Source organism: Homo sapiens, chromosome 19 (assembly GCF_000001405.40).
Source record: "Homo sapiens chromosome 19, GRCh38.p14 Primary Assembly".
In the NCBI taxonomy this organism is placed as follows: Eukaryota; Metazoa; Chordata; class Mammalia; order Primates; family Hominidae; genus Homo; species Homo sapiens.
In genome coordinates this window covers 4,121,876-4,138,949 of record NC_000019.10, presented here as the reverse complement: position 1 = coordinate 4,138,949, position 17,074 = coordinate 4,121,876, and the positions used below count along the sequence as shown (strand labels likewise).

Sequence of the window (17,074 nt, the reverse complement as noted above, 5' to 3'; positions counted from 1 at the left end):
GGCAGGCTGATCTCGAACTTCTGACTCAGGTGATCCGCCTGTCTTGGCCTCCCAAAGTGCTGGGATTACAGGCGTGAGCCATCATGCCCGGCCTTTATTTTTAATTTTTAGACAAGGTTTCACTATGTTGCCTTGGCTAGCCTGGAACTCCTGGACTCAAGTGATCCTCCCACCTCAGCCTCCCAAAGTGCTGGGATTACAGGCATGAACCACTGCACCTAAGCTCCTTCCCCACTTTTTTCATCTCTGTGGCTCTTCCTGGCATCTTATCTGTGGCCTATTTCTCCCCCAGACTGTAAACTCTGTGAGGGCAGGGGTTTTGTCTCATCCAATGCCTGGCACTTAGTAGGGTTTCAATAAAAATGTGTCAAATCAATGAACCTTAAGAAAAGTGACTCACAGTAGTTTGATAATAAAGAACATGGCTGGCCGGGTGCGGTGGCTCACGACTGTAATTCCAGCACTTTGGGAGGCCGAGGGGGGGCGGATCACAAGGTCAGGAGATTGAAACCATCCTGGCTAACACGGTGAAACCCCGTCTCTACTAAAAATACAAAAAAAAATTAGCCAGGCGTGGTGGCAGGTGCCTGTAGTCCCAGCTACCTGGGAGGCTGAGGCAGGAGAATGGCGTGAACCCAGGAGGCGGAGCTTGCAGTGAGCCGTGATCTCGCCACTGCACTCCAGTCTGGGTGACAGAGCGAGACTCTCTGAAAAAACAAAACAAAACAAAACAAAACAAAACAAAAAAAGAACAAGGCCAAAAGCAAAACAAAACAAAACAAACAAACATGACCATGTTTCATGTCCCAAATGCCTCCCAATATAATCACAGCCTGTATTGCGGTGGGCAAATTAGAGCCCACAGCTCACTGCCTATTGTTGTACAGCCTGAGTTAAAAACTGATTTTATGGCCGGGGCATGGTGGCTCCCGCCTGTAATCCCAGCACTTTGAGGGGCTGAGGTGAGAGGATTGCTTGAGCACAGGAGTTCAAGATCAGCCTAGGCAACACAGGGAGTCCCTGTCTCTACAAAAAATTTAAAAATTAGCCAGGCATGGTGGGAAGTGCCCGTAGTCCAGGCTACTCAGGGGCTTGAGGTGGGAGGATCACCAGAGCCAAGGAGTTGGAAGCTGCGGTGAGCTATGACTGCACCACCGCACTCCAGCCTGGGTGCCAGGTGAGATCCTGTCTCTAAAAAATTTGTTTTAAATTATTTTATTGCCAGCATAATAGGTCACGCCTATAACCTCAGCACTTTAGGAGGCCAAGGTGACAAGATAGCTTGAGCCCAGGAGTTTGAGATCAGCCTGGGAAACAAAGTGAAACCTGTCTCTACAAAAAGTTTAAAAATTAGCAGGGCATGGTGGCACATGCCTGTGGTCTCAGCTACTTGGGAGGCTAAGGTGAGAGGATCACTTAAGCCCAGGAATTAGAGGCCGTGGTGAGCTATGATCATGCCACTGCACTCCAATTTGAGTGACAGACACCCTGTCTTTCTAAAAAAAGAAAAGTGAAGGCCGGGCGCGGTGGCTCATGCCTGTAATCCCAGCACTTGGGAGGCCGAGGTGGGCAGATCACGAGGTCAGGAGATCGAGACCATCCTGGTTAACATGGTGAAACCCCGTCTCTACTAAAAACACAAAAAATTAGCCGGGCGTGGTGGCGGATGCCTGTAGTCCCAGCTACTCGGGAGGCTGAGGCAGAAGAATGGCGTGAACCCGGGAGGCGGAGCTTGCAGTGAGCCGAGATTGCACCACTGCACTCCAGCCTGGGTGACAGAGTGAGACTCCGTCTCAAAAAAAAAAAAAAAAAGAAAAGAAAAGAAAAAAAGAAAAGTGGAAACTGAGGCTCAGAGGGTTGAAATGAGTTTCTCAAGACCCCATGTTTCTGCGAGATTCCCTATTTACCAAATTCTCCAAACAGGACCTCAAATTCCTCACAGGAAGTGCAGAGATCACATTGACAAATCAATAATTCCATAAATTGCATGTCAGAGAGAGCGCTGCACACACCCATTTGATCTTGCTAAGCCTGGGAAATTTTTAATTGCCCCTGTTTAAAAAAAAAAAAGTCATTGCACTTTCTAGAACCTTGGGTTTGGAACTTTGCTCAGAGTGATTTCGACATGTTGTGAAAACCTCATTTTAACTTTATCTTTCTTCCAGGCATTTCACTTCAATCAGAACTTGGTAAGGCCGGGCGCGGTGGCTCACGCCTGTAATCCTAGCAATTTGGGAGGTGGAGGTGGGCGGATCACCTGAGGTCAGGAGTTTGAGACCAGCCTGGCCAACATGGCGAAACCCCATCTCTACTAAAAATACAAAGATTAGCCGGGTTTGGTGGCACATGCCTGTAATCTCAGCTGCTCGGGAGGCTGAGGCAGGAGAATCGCTTGAACCCAGGAGGCAGAGGTTGCAATGAGCCGAGATCATGCCACTGCACTCCAGCCTGGGCAACAGAGCGAGACTCTATCTCAAAATATAATAATAATAAAAATAAATAAATAAATCATGGGAAAGCGAAAAAATACATTTTATGTGTTTTCCTTCCCTCCCGCAATTAAACCCCTTTCATTTTCCCATGTTCTCTCGCAGTTCCCATTCATCTGCACAAATCTTTGATTGCAGAGCGATAAAATAAATGTCATCATGAGCATCCATCGGCCAGGACGTGGCACAAAGTCATAAAACAACTCTAGGCTGGGCACAGTGGCTCACTCCTGTAATCCCAGCACTTTAGGAGGCCGAGGCAGGTGCATCACAAGGTCAAGAGATCAAGACCATCCTGGCCAACATGGTGAAACCCTGTCTCTACTAAAAATACAAAAAATTAGCCAGGCGTGGTGGCATGTGCCTGTAGTCCCAGCTACTCGGGAGGCTGAGGCAGGAGAATCACTTGAACCCAGGAGGCGGAGGTTGCAGTGAGCCGAGATTGCGCCACTGCACTCCAGCCTGGCGACAGAGTGAGACTCCATCTCAAAAAAAAAAAAAAAAAGAAAGAAACTCTAGAAACCAGCTGGGTGTGGTGGCTCATGCCTGTCATCCCAGCACTTTGGGAGGCCAAGGCGGGCAGATCACCTGAGGTCAGGAGTTCGAGACAAGCCTGGCCAACATGGTGAAACCCCGTCTCTACTAAAAAAAAAATACAAAAATTAACCGGTTGTGATGGCAGGTGCCTGTAATCCCAGCTACTTGGGAGGCTGAGGCAGGGAGAATCACTCGAACCTGGGAGGCAGAAGTTGCAGTGAGCCGAGATGGCACCACTGCGCTCCAGCCTGAGAGACAGAGTGAGACTCCATCTCAAATTAAAAAAAAAAAAAAAAAGAACTTCACTTGGTCATCAAAAATGTGGATGACTTCTGTGATGAATCACATAATCATTTCTGAATACTGGAAAATATTTCCTTATTCCTTTTTTTTTTTTTTTAAGAGTTTCACTCTTGTTGCCCAGGCTGGAGTGCAATGGCGCTAACTCCGCTCACTGTAACCTCCGCCTCCCGGGTTCAAACCATCCTCCCGTCTCAGCCTCCCGAGTAGCTGGGATTACAGGTGCCCAACACCACTCCCAGCTAATTTTTCTATTTTTAGTAGAGACGAGGTTTCACCATGTTGACCAGGCTGGTCTCAAACTCCTAACCTCAAATGATCCTCCCGCCTCGGCCTCCCAAAGTGCTGGGATTACAGGGGCGAGCCACTGCTCCTGGCCTAATTTTTGCTTGTTTGTTTGTTTGAGACAGAGTCCCGGTCTGTCCCAGGCTGGAGTACAGTGGTGCAATCTCGGCTCACTGCAACCTCCACCTCTCGGGTTCAAGGAACTCCTCTGCCTCAGCCTTCCCAGTAGCTGGGATTACAGGCACCTGCCACCACGCCTAGCTAAATTTTGTATTTTTAGTAGAGACGGGATTTCACCATGTTGCCCAGGCTGGTCTCAAACTCCTGACCTTGTGATCTGCCTGCCTCAACCTCCCAAAGCGCCGGGATTACAGGCGTGAGCCACTGCGCCTGGCCTAATTTGAAATCGTAGCTATTAACCAGCAGTTCCCAAATTTCCCAAAACTTGAACAAATCGGCTCTTGCCCACCAGAAGGAGCTGGCTTTGGCACAGCACTGCTAAGCTTCTCTCAGAGCATCCTGTTTTCCTCCTTGAACACTGCACCCCAGGTTGTTAAGTTAATCAGCTGCAGCTCTGGAAGAAAGCTCAGATTGGTTTCTTCCAAAGTTTCAGATTAGAACTACCCTGGGAGCTCCACCACAGGCTGAGAGCAAGAGAGGTTTCATCGGGAACTCACTGGAATAGGATGAGAACATCCAGTGATCCAAGGCACCAGGCTTTGAGCCAGGTATGTTTGCCCCAAACCCCTGCAGGTTGCACACTGCCACCATGCCACGAGGTCCCCAAGGCAGCCACATTCATTGCTCACATCTGTGCTCACCAAACACCTCCCGTGTGTCAGGCTTGGTGCTGGCAGCCAGGGATGCCAAGATGGATGAGTTCCCGGCATTCCAGGAACTCACAGACTTCACGAAATTCAATTAATCATGTGTTCATATCCCTAAACGTTATAAGGTGCACTTTTCCTTTTCTATAATTTATGTATAATCTTTCTTTTCTTTTTTCTTTTTTTTTTTTTGAGACGGAATCTCTATTGCCCAGGCTGGAGCGCAGTGGCGCAATCTTGGCTGACTGCAACCTCCGCCTCCTGAGTTCAAGCGATTCTCCTGCCTCTGCCTCTCGAGTGTCTGGAACTACAGGCATGAGCCACCATGCCTAGCTAGTTTTTGTATTTTTAGTAGAGATGGGGATTCACCGTATTGGCCAGGCTGGTCTTGAACTCCCGACCTCGTGATTCCCCCACCTCGGCCTCCCAAAGTGGTAGAATTACAGGCGTGAGCCACCGCGCCCAGCCCTAATCTTTTTAAAATTGTGGTAAATACATGTATATCAAAAAATTTACCATCTTAATCTTTTCGTTGCTGGTTTTTTTTTGTTTTTGTTTTTTCTCTTTGAGATAGGGTTTTGCTCTCCTGCTCAGGCTGGAGTACAGTGGTGTCATTATAGCTCTCTGCAGCCTTGACCTCACAGGCTTAAGTGATCCTCCTGCCTCAGCCTCCTGAGTAGCTGAGACAACAGGCATGCACCACCACACACAAATAATTTTTTTTTTCTAGAGACGGGTTTTTGTTGTTGTTGTTGTTTTTTGAGATGGAGTCTCACTCTGTCACCCAGGCTGGAGTGTAGTGGCGCGATCTCGGCTCACTGCAACCTCCACCTCCTGGGGTCATGCCATTCTCCTGCCTCAGCCTCCCAAGTAGCTGGGACTACAGGCGCCCGCCACCACGCCCGGCTAATTTTTTGTATTTTTAGTAGAGACGGGGTTTCACCGTGTTAGCCAGGATGGGCTCGATTTCCTGACCTTGTGATCCACCCTCCTTGGCCTCCCAAACTGTTGGGATTACAGGCGTGAGCCACCGCGCCCGGCTGAGACGGGGTTTTGCCATGTTGCCCAGGCTGGTCTCCAACTCCCGAGCTCAAGCGATCTGCCTACTTGTGCTCCCAAAATGTTGGGATTACAGGTGCAAGCCACTGTGCCCGGCCAAATTTTGTTTTTGTTTTTGAGACGGAGTTTTGTTCTTGTCGTCCAGGCTGGGGTGCAGTGGCACAATCTCGGCTCACTGCAACCTCTGCCTACTGGGTTCAAGAGATTTTCCTGTCTCAGCCTCCCGAGTAGCTCTGATTGCGGGCGTTTGGCACCACACCTGGCTAATTTTGTATTTTTGGTAGAGATGGGGTTTCACCATGTTGGCCAGGCTGGTCTCGAACTCCTGACCTCAGGTGATCCACCCACCTCAGCCTCCCAAAGTGCTGGGATTACAGGCGTGAGCCACCTCACACAGCCTCTTTTGCCTTTTGAGACAGGGTCTTGCTCTGTCACCCAGGCTGGAGTGCAGTGGCACTATCATAGCTCATTGCAGCCTTGAATTCCTGGGCCTAAGCGATCCTCTCACCTCAGCCTCCCAAGTAGCTGGGACTACAGGTGTGCACCTAGCTAAGTTTTTTTTTGTTTGTTTTCATAGAAACAAGGATCTCACTATGTTGCCCAGGCTGGTCTGGAACTCCTGACCTCAAGCCATCTTCCCGCCTCAGCCTACCATAGTGTTGGGATTATAGGCAAGAGCTACTATGCCTGGTCAGTATTTTTATTTTAGCCATTCTAATAGGCGTATGGAAGTATCTCATCATGGTTTTAATTTGCATTTCTCTAATGGCTAATAACACTGAGCCATTTTCATTTTATAAAAATGGTGTCATAAGGCCAGGCGTGGTGGCTCACTTGATTACACTTGTAATCCCAGCCCTTTTGGAGGCCGAGGCGGGCAGATCACTTGAGGCCAGGAGTTCAAGACCAGTCTGGCCAACATGGTGAAACCCCATCTCTACTAAAAATACAAAAACATTAGCTGGGCGTGGTGGCACATGCCTGTAATCCCAGCTACTCAGGAGGCTGAGGCATGAGAATCGCTTGAACCCAGGAGGCGGAGGTTGCAGTGAGCCGAGATTGCACCACTGCACTCCAGCCTGGGCAAAAGAGCAAGACTCCATCTCAAAAATAAATAAATTAATTTAAAAAAAAAAGGTTGTCATAAGGCCAGGTGGGGTGGCTCATGCCTGTAATCCCAGCATTCTGGAAGGTCCCGGTGGGAGGATGGCTTGAGGCTTGGAGGTCAAGCTTATACTGGCCAACACAGCAAGACTCTGTCTCTTTAAAAAAAATTAATTAAAAAATAAAAATGGCATTATAGTCTTTTATAACCTTTCTTTTTCTTTTTTTTTTAAATTGAGTCTCACTGTGTCTCCCAGGCTGGAGTGGTGCTATCTTGGCTCACTGCAACCTCCGCCTCCCCAGTTTAAGCAATTCTCCTGCCTCAGCCTTCTGAGTAGCTGGGACTGCAAATGTGCATCACCACACCTGGCTAATTTTTGTATTTTTAGTAGAGACAGGGTTTTACCATGTTGCCCAGGCTTGTCACGAACTCTTGACCTCAGGCGATCTGCCTGCCTCGCCCTCCCAAAGTGCTAGAATTAGAGGCGTGAGCTACCACATCCAGCCTTTTTCTTTCTTTCTTTTTTTTTTTTTTTTCTTGAGACGGAGTCTCGCTCTGTCACCCAGGCTGGAGTGCAGTGGCGTGATCTTGGCTCACTGCAAGCTCCGCCTCCTGGGTTCATGCCATTCTCCTGCCTCAGCCTCCTGAGTAGCTGGGACTACAGGCGCCCACCACCACCCACGACTAATTTTTTTATTATTTTATTTTATTTTATTTTATTTTTTCAGTAGAGACGGGGTTTCACTGTGTTAGCCAGAATGGTCTCAATCTCCTGACCTGGTGATCCGCCCATCTCAGCCTCCCAAAGTCTTGGGATTACAGGCGTGAGCCACCGCGCCCAGCCCGCCTTTTTCTTTTCTTTAGAGAAGGGGGGTCTCCCTATGTTGCCCAGGTCTTCCTGGAACCCCTGGGCTCAAATAATCCTCAAGCCTCAGCCTTCCAAGTAGCTGAGACTAACTAAGATTCTTTTATGCTGTTGTCACTTAGGAATTTTCTGCTGTATCATATTTCTCTGTGGGACTGCACTAGGACGTATTTTTCCATTCTCCCATCAATGGACTCTGTGTACTTTCCAAATTTTTGCCATTGAGAACATTATTGTGTGAGTCTCCCGTTTGCACACAGGCAAGAGTCTCTCTAAGTCACATGCCCACGATCCCAACTGCTGAGTCACAGCGCGCTCACGATAGGGTTAAATTGCTTTCCAAAGGGTTCAGTTCGCTGTTCTGTCAGTTAATCCATTGCACAGGTGACAGAGATAAAGTTCACAGGACATTGCTAGTTGGAAACAATGTACACATGTGATATTAACACCAGCATATGCCTCTACAAGATAAATGTCACCTTGGATTGAATCTATCAAGAAAGCTATTAGAAATTTATTTCCTGGGAGGAGCAATTTAGGAGACACCCACGTCTCTGGGACCAAGAGACAGATGTACTCAGAAAAAGTGTTATTGGAAGCAATGATAAGTAGAAAATATATCACAGAGAGAGGTCACAGGGCAAACTATGCTTGGTAGTAAAGATAGAGAATGGGTGGAGGGGGTGAGGCTGCACTGTAACCTCAGCAATTAAAGCTCCTGTTTTATCATAAGTGCTGCGAATGGTTGCCTTGTAATAAGGCAACCTGTCTCCTTGAGAACAAGAACACCCAGGACATTCCTTCAAGTAACACATATGTATCCAGCATCCATTATGTCCGGGGAGGTAAAGTGGGAGAGAAGGAGATACATCCAACATCTTCTTTGGCCTCAAAAAATTCATAACAGACCCGGCACAGTGGCTCACGCCTGTAATCCCAGCACTTTGGGAGGCTGAGGCAGGCAGGTCACGAGGTCAAGGGTTCGAGACCAGCCTGACCAAAACAGTGAAACCCCATCTCTACAAAAAATACAAAAATTAGCCGGGGGTGGTGGCACGCGCACCTGTAATCCCAGCTACTCAGGAGGCTGAGGCAGGAGAATCGCTTGAACCCAGGAGGCGGAGGTTGCAGTGAGCCGAGATTGCGCCACTGCACTCCAGCCCAGGTGACAGAGCAAGACTCCCTGTCAAAAAAAAAAAAAAAGTTCATAACAGGCTGGGCTTGGTGGCTCACACTTGTAATCCCAGCACTTTGGGAGGCTGAGGCAGGAGGATCGCTTGAGCCCATGGGTTTGAGACCAGCCTGGGTAAGATGGTGAGACTCCCCTTGCCCATTTCTACAAAAAATAAAAAATTAGCTGGGCATGGTGGTGTGCACCTGTCATCCCGGCTACTCAGGAGGCTGAGGCAGGAGGATCACCTGATCCCGGGAGGTAGAGGCTGCAGTGAGCAGTGATTACACCACTGCACTCCAGCCTGGGTAACAGAGTGAGATCGTCTCCAAAAAAAAGAAGGAGAATTTATATATTTATTTATTTACTTACTTACTTATTGAGACAGACCGTCTTGCTCAATCACCCAGGCTGGAGTGCAGTGGCGCGATCTCGGCTCACTGCAAGCTCCGCCTCCTGGGTTCACGGCATTCTCCTGCCTCAGCCTCCCAAGTAGCTGGGACTACAGGCGCCTGCCCCCACGCCCTGCTAATTTTTTTTGTATTTTTAGTAGAGACGGGGTTTCACCATGTTAGTCAGGATGGTCTTGATCTCCTGACCTCGTGATCCACCCGCCTCGGCTTCCCAAAGTGCTGGGATTAGAGGCGTGAGCCACCGCGCCCGGCCAGAAGGATGATTCATTTACTGTTCTATGTCAAGGGCAATGCCCACAGTACATACAATGGGATATCATCTAGCAAGGAAACCGAACTAATTATCGTTATGTGAAATAATATAAATGAATCTCAAAAATATTGTCTCAGGACCTGGTACAGTGACTGACGCCTGTAATCCCAGCACTTTGGGAGGCCAAGTCACTGGGGTCATTTGAGCCTAGGAGTTTGAGACCAGCATGGGCAACATGATGAGACCCCCCCATCTCCACAAAAAATATAAAATTAGTTGGGCATGGCGGTGGGAGCCTGTAGTCCCAGCTACTCCGGAGGCTGAGGTGGGAGGATGGCTTGAGCCCAGAAAGTGGAGGCTGTAGTGAGCTGAGATCACACCACTACACTCCAGCCTGTGCAATAAAGGAAAATCCTGTCTAAAACAAAACCAAAACCAAAAACAAAACATTGTCCTAAAGCAGAAAGAGCTGACACCAGGCCGGGTGCGGTGGCTCACGCCTGTAATCCCAGCCTATAATTCCAGCACTCTGGGAGGCCGAGGCAGGTGGATCACGAGATCAGGAGTTCAAGACCAGCCTGGCCAATATGGTGAAACCCCATCTCTACTAAAAATACAAAAATTAGCTGGGTGTGGTAGCACACGCCTATAATCCCAGCTACTCCGGAGGCTGAGGCACGGGAATCGCTTGAACCTCGGAGGTGGAAGTTGCAGTGAGCCGAGATCGTGCCACTGCACTCCAGCCTGGGTGACAGAGTGAGACTCTGTCTCAAAAAAAAAAAAAAAAAAAAAGAACTGACACCATGAGTGCAATTCCATTTACATGAAACTCTTGAACAGGCAAAAACTAATCTATGGGGATAGAACGCAGAATCTGGGGGGGTTTTGGGAGTAGTAGTGGACTGCAGCTGGCTTACAGCCACTCGTAAGCATCTTTGATACCATTGTCAACTTTATTTTTTTTGAGACTGACTTTCACTCTCGTTGCCCAGGCTGGAGTACAGTGGCACCATCTCGGCTCACCACAACCTCCACCTCCTGGGTTCAAGCGATTCTCCTGCCTCAGCCTCCCTCGTAGCTGGGATTACAGGCATGTGCCACCACACCTGGCTAGTTTTGTATTTTTATTTTTATTTATTTATTTTTTTAGACAGAGTCTTGCTCTCTTGCCCAGGCTGGAGTGCAGTGGCGAAATCTCAGCTCACTGCAAGCTCCACCTCCCGGGTTCACACCATTCTCCTGCCTCAGCCTCCTGAGTAGCTGGAACTACAGGTGCCCGCCACCACGCCTGGCTAATTTTTTTGTATTTTTAGTAGAGACAGGGTTTCACTGTGTTAGCCAGGATGGTCTCTGGTCTCGATCTCCTGACCTCGTGATCTGCCTGCCTCAGCCTCCCAAAGTGCTGGGATTACAGGCGTGAGCCACCGCGCCCGGCCTTGTATTTTTAGTAGAGACAGGGTTTGTCCATGTTGGTCAGGCTGGTATCGAACTCCCGACCTCAGGTGATCCACCCGCCTCGGCCTCCCAAAGTGCAGGGATTATAGGCATGAGCCACCACATCTGGTCTTCTTCTTTTTTTTTTTTTTTTTGAGACAGAGTCTCCCTCAGGCTGGAGTGCGGTGGCACGATCTTGGCTCACTGCAACCTCCACCTCTCAGGTTCAAGTAATTCTCGTGCCTCAGCCTCCCAAGTAGCTGAGACTACAGGCACCTGCCACCATGCCCAGCTAATTTTTTTTTTTTTTCCGAGATGGAGCCTTACTCTGTTGCCCAGGCTGGAGTGCAGGGGCACAATCTTGGCTCACTGCAACCTCCACCTCCGGGGTTCAAGCAGTTCTCCTGCCTCAGCCTCCCGAGTAGCTGGGATTACAGGTGCCCACCACCATGCCCGGCTAATTTTTGTGTGTTTTTAGTAGAGACGGGGTTTCACCATGTTGGTCAGGCTGGTCTTGAACTCTTGACCTCAGGTGATCTGCCCACCTCGGCTTGCCAAAGTGCTGTGATTACACCCGTGACCAGCCTAATTTTTGTATATTTAGTAGAGATGGGGTTTCACCATGTTGGCCAGGCTGGACTCGAACTCCTGACCTCAAGTGATCACCTGCTTTGGCCTCCCAAAGTGCTGGGATTGCAGGTGTGAGCCACCACACCCGGCCTCTCCTTATTTTAATGGCTCATTGTTAAACATTTACCAGCTCACTACTGCTGGGTGCAGAGGAAGAGAATGAACTAAAAAGGCAGTGAACAGACTTTCTGGAGTAAGGGGAAGTGTTACATGGATGTATAGAGTTGTAATAATCCAAGAAATTGAACTTCAGAAACTTGTGCATTAATAGGTGAGTGCAGTGGCTCACGGCTCTAGTCCCAGCACTGCTGAGGACGAGGCAGGAGGATCGCTTGAGCCTAGGAGTGTGAGACCAGCCTGAGTGACATGGAGAAACCCTGTCTGGACAAAAAATACAAAAATTAGCCGAGTGTGGTGGCGTATGTTTGTAGCCAGGGCTACTAGGGAGGCTGAGGTGGGAGAATCGCTTGAGCCAGGGAGGTGGAGGCTGCAGAGAGTTATGATCGTGCCACTGCACTCCAGCCTGAGGCCTGGGTGACAGAGTCAGAACTTGTCTTAAAAAGAAAAAAAAAGCCTAAAATAGGATAAAATGGGAGAAAGATTGCTAGGCAAAACAGAAGGAACATGGAAATAGCCCTGTCTCTGAAAGGGCCTGTCCTTATTTGAGGCCACATATGCATCCATCTGAATTTTGGACAAGCGGGTGGGAGCGATGAGAAGTAAAACTGAAAGGCCCAGATTGTAAAAACCCAGGAGCAGGCTTCCCCAGGAGCAGTGTTTTGTTTGTTGTTTTGTTTTGTTTTGTTTTTTTCGAGATGGAGTCTCGGTCGGTCGCCCAGGCTGGAGTGCAATGGCGTGATCTCGGCTCACTGCAACCTCCACCTCCCGGGTTTAAGCGATTCTCCTGCCTCAGCCTCCCGAGTAGCTGGGACTACAGGCACGCATCACCACACCCAGTTAATTTTTGTATTTTTAGTAGAGACGGGGTTTCACCATGTTGGCCAGGATAGTCTCAATCTCTTGACCTCATGATCCACCTGCCTTGGCTTCCCAAAGTGCTGGGATTACAGGCGTGAGCCACCGCGCCCGGCCAGTTGGTTGGTTTTGTTTTTTGAGCGTGAGTCTGGCTCTGTCGCCCAGGCTGGAATGCGATGGCACAATCTCGGCTCACTGCAACCTCCGCCTCCGGGGTTCAGTTATCCCACCTCAGCCTCCCTAGTAGCTGGAATTACAGCCACCCGCCACCACACCTGTGTAATTTTTGTATTTTTAGTAGAGACGAGGTTTCACCATGTTGGCCAGGTTGGTCTCGAACTCCTGACCTCAAGTGATCAGCCCACCTCAGCTTCCCAGGGTCCTGGGATTACAGGTGTGAGCCACGGCACCTGGCAAAAAATTAAATTTTTTTTTGTTCTGTTTTATTGGAGACGGAGTCTTACTTTGTCGCCCAGGCTGGAGGGCAGTGGTGCAATCTTGGCTCACTGCAACGTCTGCCCCCCGGGTTCAAGCGATTCTCCTGCCTCAGCCGCCTGAGTAGCTGAGACTATAGGCACACACCGCCAGGCCTGGCTAATTTTTGTATTTTATTTATTTATTTGTTTGTTTGTTTGTTTGTTTGATTTTTTTGAGACGAAGTCTCGCTCTTGTCTCCCAAGCTGGAGTGCAATGGCGTGATCTTGGCTCACTGCAACCTCTGCCTCCCGGGTTCAAGCAATTCTTCTGCCTCAACCTCGCGAGTAGCTGGGATTACAGGCACGCGCCACCATGCCCGGCTAATTTTTGTATTTTTTTGTTTTAGTAGAGACGGGGTTTCACCATGTTGGCCAGACTCGTCTTCAACTCCTGACCTCAGGTGATCCACCCGCCTCGACCTCCCAAAGTGCTGGGATTACAGGCGTGAGCCACCGCGCCCAGCCTATGACCTTTCTTATAAAGTGGTACGGCTATTGTATTAAATAGTAAGGTGGTGCTTCAAAAAGTTCAACATAGAATTACCATATAATCCAGTAATTCCTCTTCAGAACATATACCCAAAAGAACTCAAGGCAAGGACTCAAACAGATATTTGTACATCTGTGTTCATAGCGGCACGATTCACCGAAGTGTCTAGTGGCAGATAAATGGATAAGCAAAATATAGTCCATGCACACAATAGAATATTATTCAGCCTTAAAAAGGAGGAAAATCCTGACTGGGTGCGGTGGCTCACGCCTGTAATCCCAGCACTTTGGGAGATCGAGGCGGGTGGATCACGAGGTCAGGAGATGGAGACCATCCTGGCTAACACGGTGAAACCCCGTCTCTACTAAAAATACAAAAAAATTAGCCGGGCATGGTGGTGGGCACCTGTAGTCCCAGCTACTCGGGAGGCTGAGGCAGGAGAATGGCGTGAACCCGGGAGGCAGAGTTTGCAGTGGGCCGAGATCGCACCACTGCACTCCAGCCTGGGTGACAGAGCGAGACTCCGTCTCAAAAAAAAAAAAAGGGAAATTTTTCTTTTTTTTTTTTTTTCTGCTCTTTTTTGGAGCAGGGCTACCCGATTGGAAGTATGCCCGGAGTAGTCAAGTGGGTAAATTCTAACACAGGTTACAACGTGGATCTAACACAGCTACAACAGGCACCTTGAGGACGTGGCCCTCAGTGAAATATGCCAGCCACAAAGGGACAAAACCTGTGTGATCCTACTCATATGAAGTCCCTAGAATCATCAGATTCACAGGAAGTACGACGTTGGGTTCCAGGGGCTGGGGAGGGGGATAGGGAGTGAGGTTTCATAGGGGACAGTGTTTCAGTTTCGGAAGATGAGAAAATTCTGGAGATGGTGGTGGTGGTGGTTGCTTAATGCCGCTGAGCTGTGCATTTAGAAATGGTTAAAATGACAAGTTTTATGTTATGTGTATTTTATAATAAAAATGTTTCAACATGCGCATAGTAATATATGCAATTTTATTTGTCAATTAAAATAAATTTTAAAAATGTTTTAGAGTGGCCTTGTTCTGATGAAGGAGGGGGAGTAACTGACACTCTAAGGCGGTGGGGGCTAGGGGCGTGTGTCCACGCTTGCCAAAAAGATTAAATGGACTCTGGGTGGGTCTCGTCCACTGTTCTGGGGTCTTACGGGTTCTCTCAGCCCCAGCCTGGGGCACCACAGGCTCTCAGGAGTCTGGCTACCCTGCCCACCTGTGCACGACCATCACCCCAGCCTTCATCCCTCCGTCTCCTCCCCTGCTCCCGCGCCTCATGCCCCAAGCGCTTGGGCACACGCGCCGTGGTAAGGCAAGCGAGGGCGCCCGGTCCCGGCACCGCCTCGCGTCGGTCTCCGCCCCTTTCCCCTCCGAAAGGCGGCCTTGTGCTGCTGCGCAGGCGCGGCGGCTGGGGGTGGGGTCCATCGCGGCTCCCGATCCCGTTATCGCGAGAAGCCGGTCCGCGATCTTGTGGCCGCCCCTCCCCTCCCCCTGCCTCTCGGACTCGGGCTGCGGCGTCAGCCTTCTTCGGGCCTCGGCAGCGGTAGCGGCTCGCTCGCCTCAGCCCCAGCGCCCCTCGGCTACCCTCGGCCCAGGCCCGCAGCGCCGCCCGCCCTCGGCCGCCCCGACGCCGGCCTGGGCCGCGGCCGCAGCCCCGGGCTCGCGTAGGCGCCGACCGCTCCCGGCCCGCCCCCTATGGGCCCCGGCTAGAGGCGCCGCCGCCGCCGGCCCGCGGAGCCCCGATGCTGGCCCGGAGGAAGCCGGTGCTGCCGGCGCTCACCATCAACCCTACCATCGCCGAGGGCCCATCCCCTACCAGCGAGGGCGCCTCCGAGTGAGTGGGCAGGGGTCAGCCGGAGGCTTGGGGTGCACGGGGCAGGGAGCCCTCGGGGAAGGACGGGGCGAGGGGACGGGGGTTCGCGAGGAGTGCACGAGGCAGGGGGGTCACGGGGGAGGACGGGGTGAGTGGTGCACGGGGCAGGGGGTTCTCGAGGGGAGGACAGGGCAGGGGACCCTCGGGGGAGGACGGGGCAGGGGGCCCTCGGGGGAGGACGGGGCAGGGGGCCCTCGGAGGACGGGGCGAAGGGTGCACGGGGCAGGGGGGTCTTTGAGCAGTGAGATTGGGCGAGGGGAGGTCCTTGTGGTGGAAAAGATGGGGTGTGGGGTTCCTGAAGAGTGGAATTGGGATAACGGGAGTCTCTGAGTAGTGAAGTTGGGGTGAAGGATGTCTCTAAGAGGAGAGGATGGGGACAGGGGTCCCTGAGCAGCGAGGTTGAGTGAGGGGAGGTCCCTGCAGTGCAGAAGATGGGGTGTGGGGCTTCTGAAAAGTGAAGCTGGGGTGAGGGGAGTCCCTCAGTAGGAAAATCGGAATGAGGGGTGTCCCCAAGGAGAGAACAGGATGAGGCTCCCCAAGCAGTGAGATCGGGGTGAGGGGTATCTCTAAGAGGAGAGAACACAGTGTGGGGTCCTTGAGTAGTGAAATGAGGGTGAAGAGTTCCTAAGAGGAAAGGACGGAGTAAAGGTTGCCGTAGTCATGAGATGAGGGTGAGGGGAGACCCTGAGTAGGGAAATCGGGGTGCAGGGCATTCCTGAGAGGAGAGGATGGGGTGTGGGGAGGTCAGGCAGCCCCTGAGGAGGAAATCTGGGCAAGGGGGCTCCAGAGGGGAGAGGATGGGGTGAGGGGTCCCTGAGTAATGAGACTGAGATGGGGTAGGGTCCCTGGTAGGAAAAGACGGGGTAAGGGTCCCTCAATAATGAGATAGGGCCAAGGGAGGTCCCTGTGGGAAAAGACAGGGCATGGAGTCACTGAGTAGCAGAATGGTGGTAGGTCTCTGAGTAGTGAAATGGGGTGAACGGTCCCTGAATAGTGAAATCGGGGAGATGGTGGGGTCCCTGAGTAATGAGATTGGAGTGAGGGGAGATCCCTTTGGGGAAAAGATGGGGTTTGGAATCCCTAAGTCGTGAGATCAGGCCAAGGAGATGTCCTTGCAGAGAGAAGATGGGGTGCAGGGCCCCTGAATTGTGAGATGGGGTTGAGGGGGTCCCTGGGAGGAGAGGATGTGTCGGTGGGGGCCTGTGGGGGAAGGATAGGCAAGGGGTGTTCTGCATATTGAAATGATAGTGAAGCGAGTCCCTTGGGGGAGAGATGGGGTGAGGGGGTCCCTATGGGGGAAAGATGGGGTGGGAGGGTTCCTATGGGGGAGAGATGGGGTGAGGGGGTCCCTATGGGGGAGAGATGGGGTGGGAGGGTCCCTATGGGGGAGAGATGGGGTGAGGGGGTCCCTATGGGGGAGAGATGGGGTGAGGGGGTCCCTGTGGGGGAGAGATGGGGTGGGAGGGTCCCTATGGGGGAGAGATGGGGTGGGAGGGTCCCTATGGGGGAGAGATGGGGTGGGAGGGTCCCTATGGGGGAGAGATGGGGTGGGAGGGTTCCTATGGGGGAGAGATGGGGTGGGAGGGTGCCTGAGCCACAGGTTGAGAGTGCAGCACCTGGGTGGGGAGGACAGGCTGAGAGGTCTTGGGGGGGCGGGGAGCGGTCCTTTTGGGGAATGAGTCCCTGAGTAATGAGGTTGGCATGGGATGAAGAGGGCACCTAGGGTGCCAAGGTGGGGCAGGGGGGTCCCTTAGGGGAGAGGATGGGGTGAGGAGGTCCATAGACAACCAGGGAAAAGGGAAGAGAGGGGAGGACAGGGGGCTCCCAGAAGGGTCAGGATGTGGGAGAGGGGTGTCCTAGGGGGTCACG

At 51.3% G+C, this 17,074-nt stretch overlaps 1 protein-coding gene across 2 annotated transcripts in view, besides 3 other annotated features; it reads left to right on the top strand.

Moving 5' to 3' along the window:
- Positions 7,624 to 7,918: an enhancer, noted in NCBI's record as "tiled region #2607; HepG2 Activating DNase matched - State 5:Enh, and K562 Activating DNase unmatched - State 5:Enh". NCBI's record gives its function as "activates a minimal TATA promoter and a strong SV40 promoter by Sharpr-MPRA in HepG2 and K562 cells {active_cell/tissue: HepG2 | K562}" and the evidence as "EXISTENCE:reporter gene assay evidence [ECO:0000049][PMID:27701403]".
- Positions 14,676 to 14,795: a silencer, noted in NCBI's record as "silent region_9882". NCBI's record gives its function as "represses an Ori minimal core promoter by ATAC-STARR-seq in GM12878 lymphoblastoid cells {active_cell/tissue: GM12878}" and the evidence as "EXISTENCE:reporter gene assay evidence [ECO:0000049][PMID:35858748]".
- The window catches only part of MAP2K2 (mitogen-activated protein kinase kinase 2), a 33,802-nt gene continuing 31,555 nt past the window's right edge, over positions 14,828 to 17,074 (top strand). For both annotated transcript variants that reach the window (NM_001440688.1, NM_030662.4), the window contains exon 1: positions 14,828 to 15,166. In NM_001440688.1, the coding sequence (NP_001427617.1) occupies positions 15,075 to 15,166 (92 nt within the window). In that variant the 5' untranslated portion in view covers positions 14,828 to 15,074. The remainder of the gene's footprint in view (positions 15,167 to 17,074) is intronic.
- Positions 14,986 to 15,235: a silencer, noted in NCBI's record as "silent region_9881". NCBI's record gives its function as "represses an Ori minimal core promoter by ATAC-STARR-seq in GM12878 lymphoblastoid cells {active_cell/tissue: GM12878}" and the evidence as "EXISTENCE:reporter gene assay evidence [ECO:0000049][PMID:35858748]".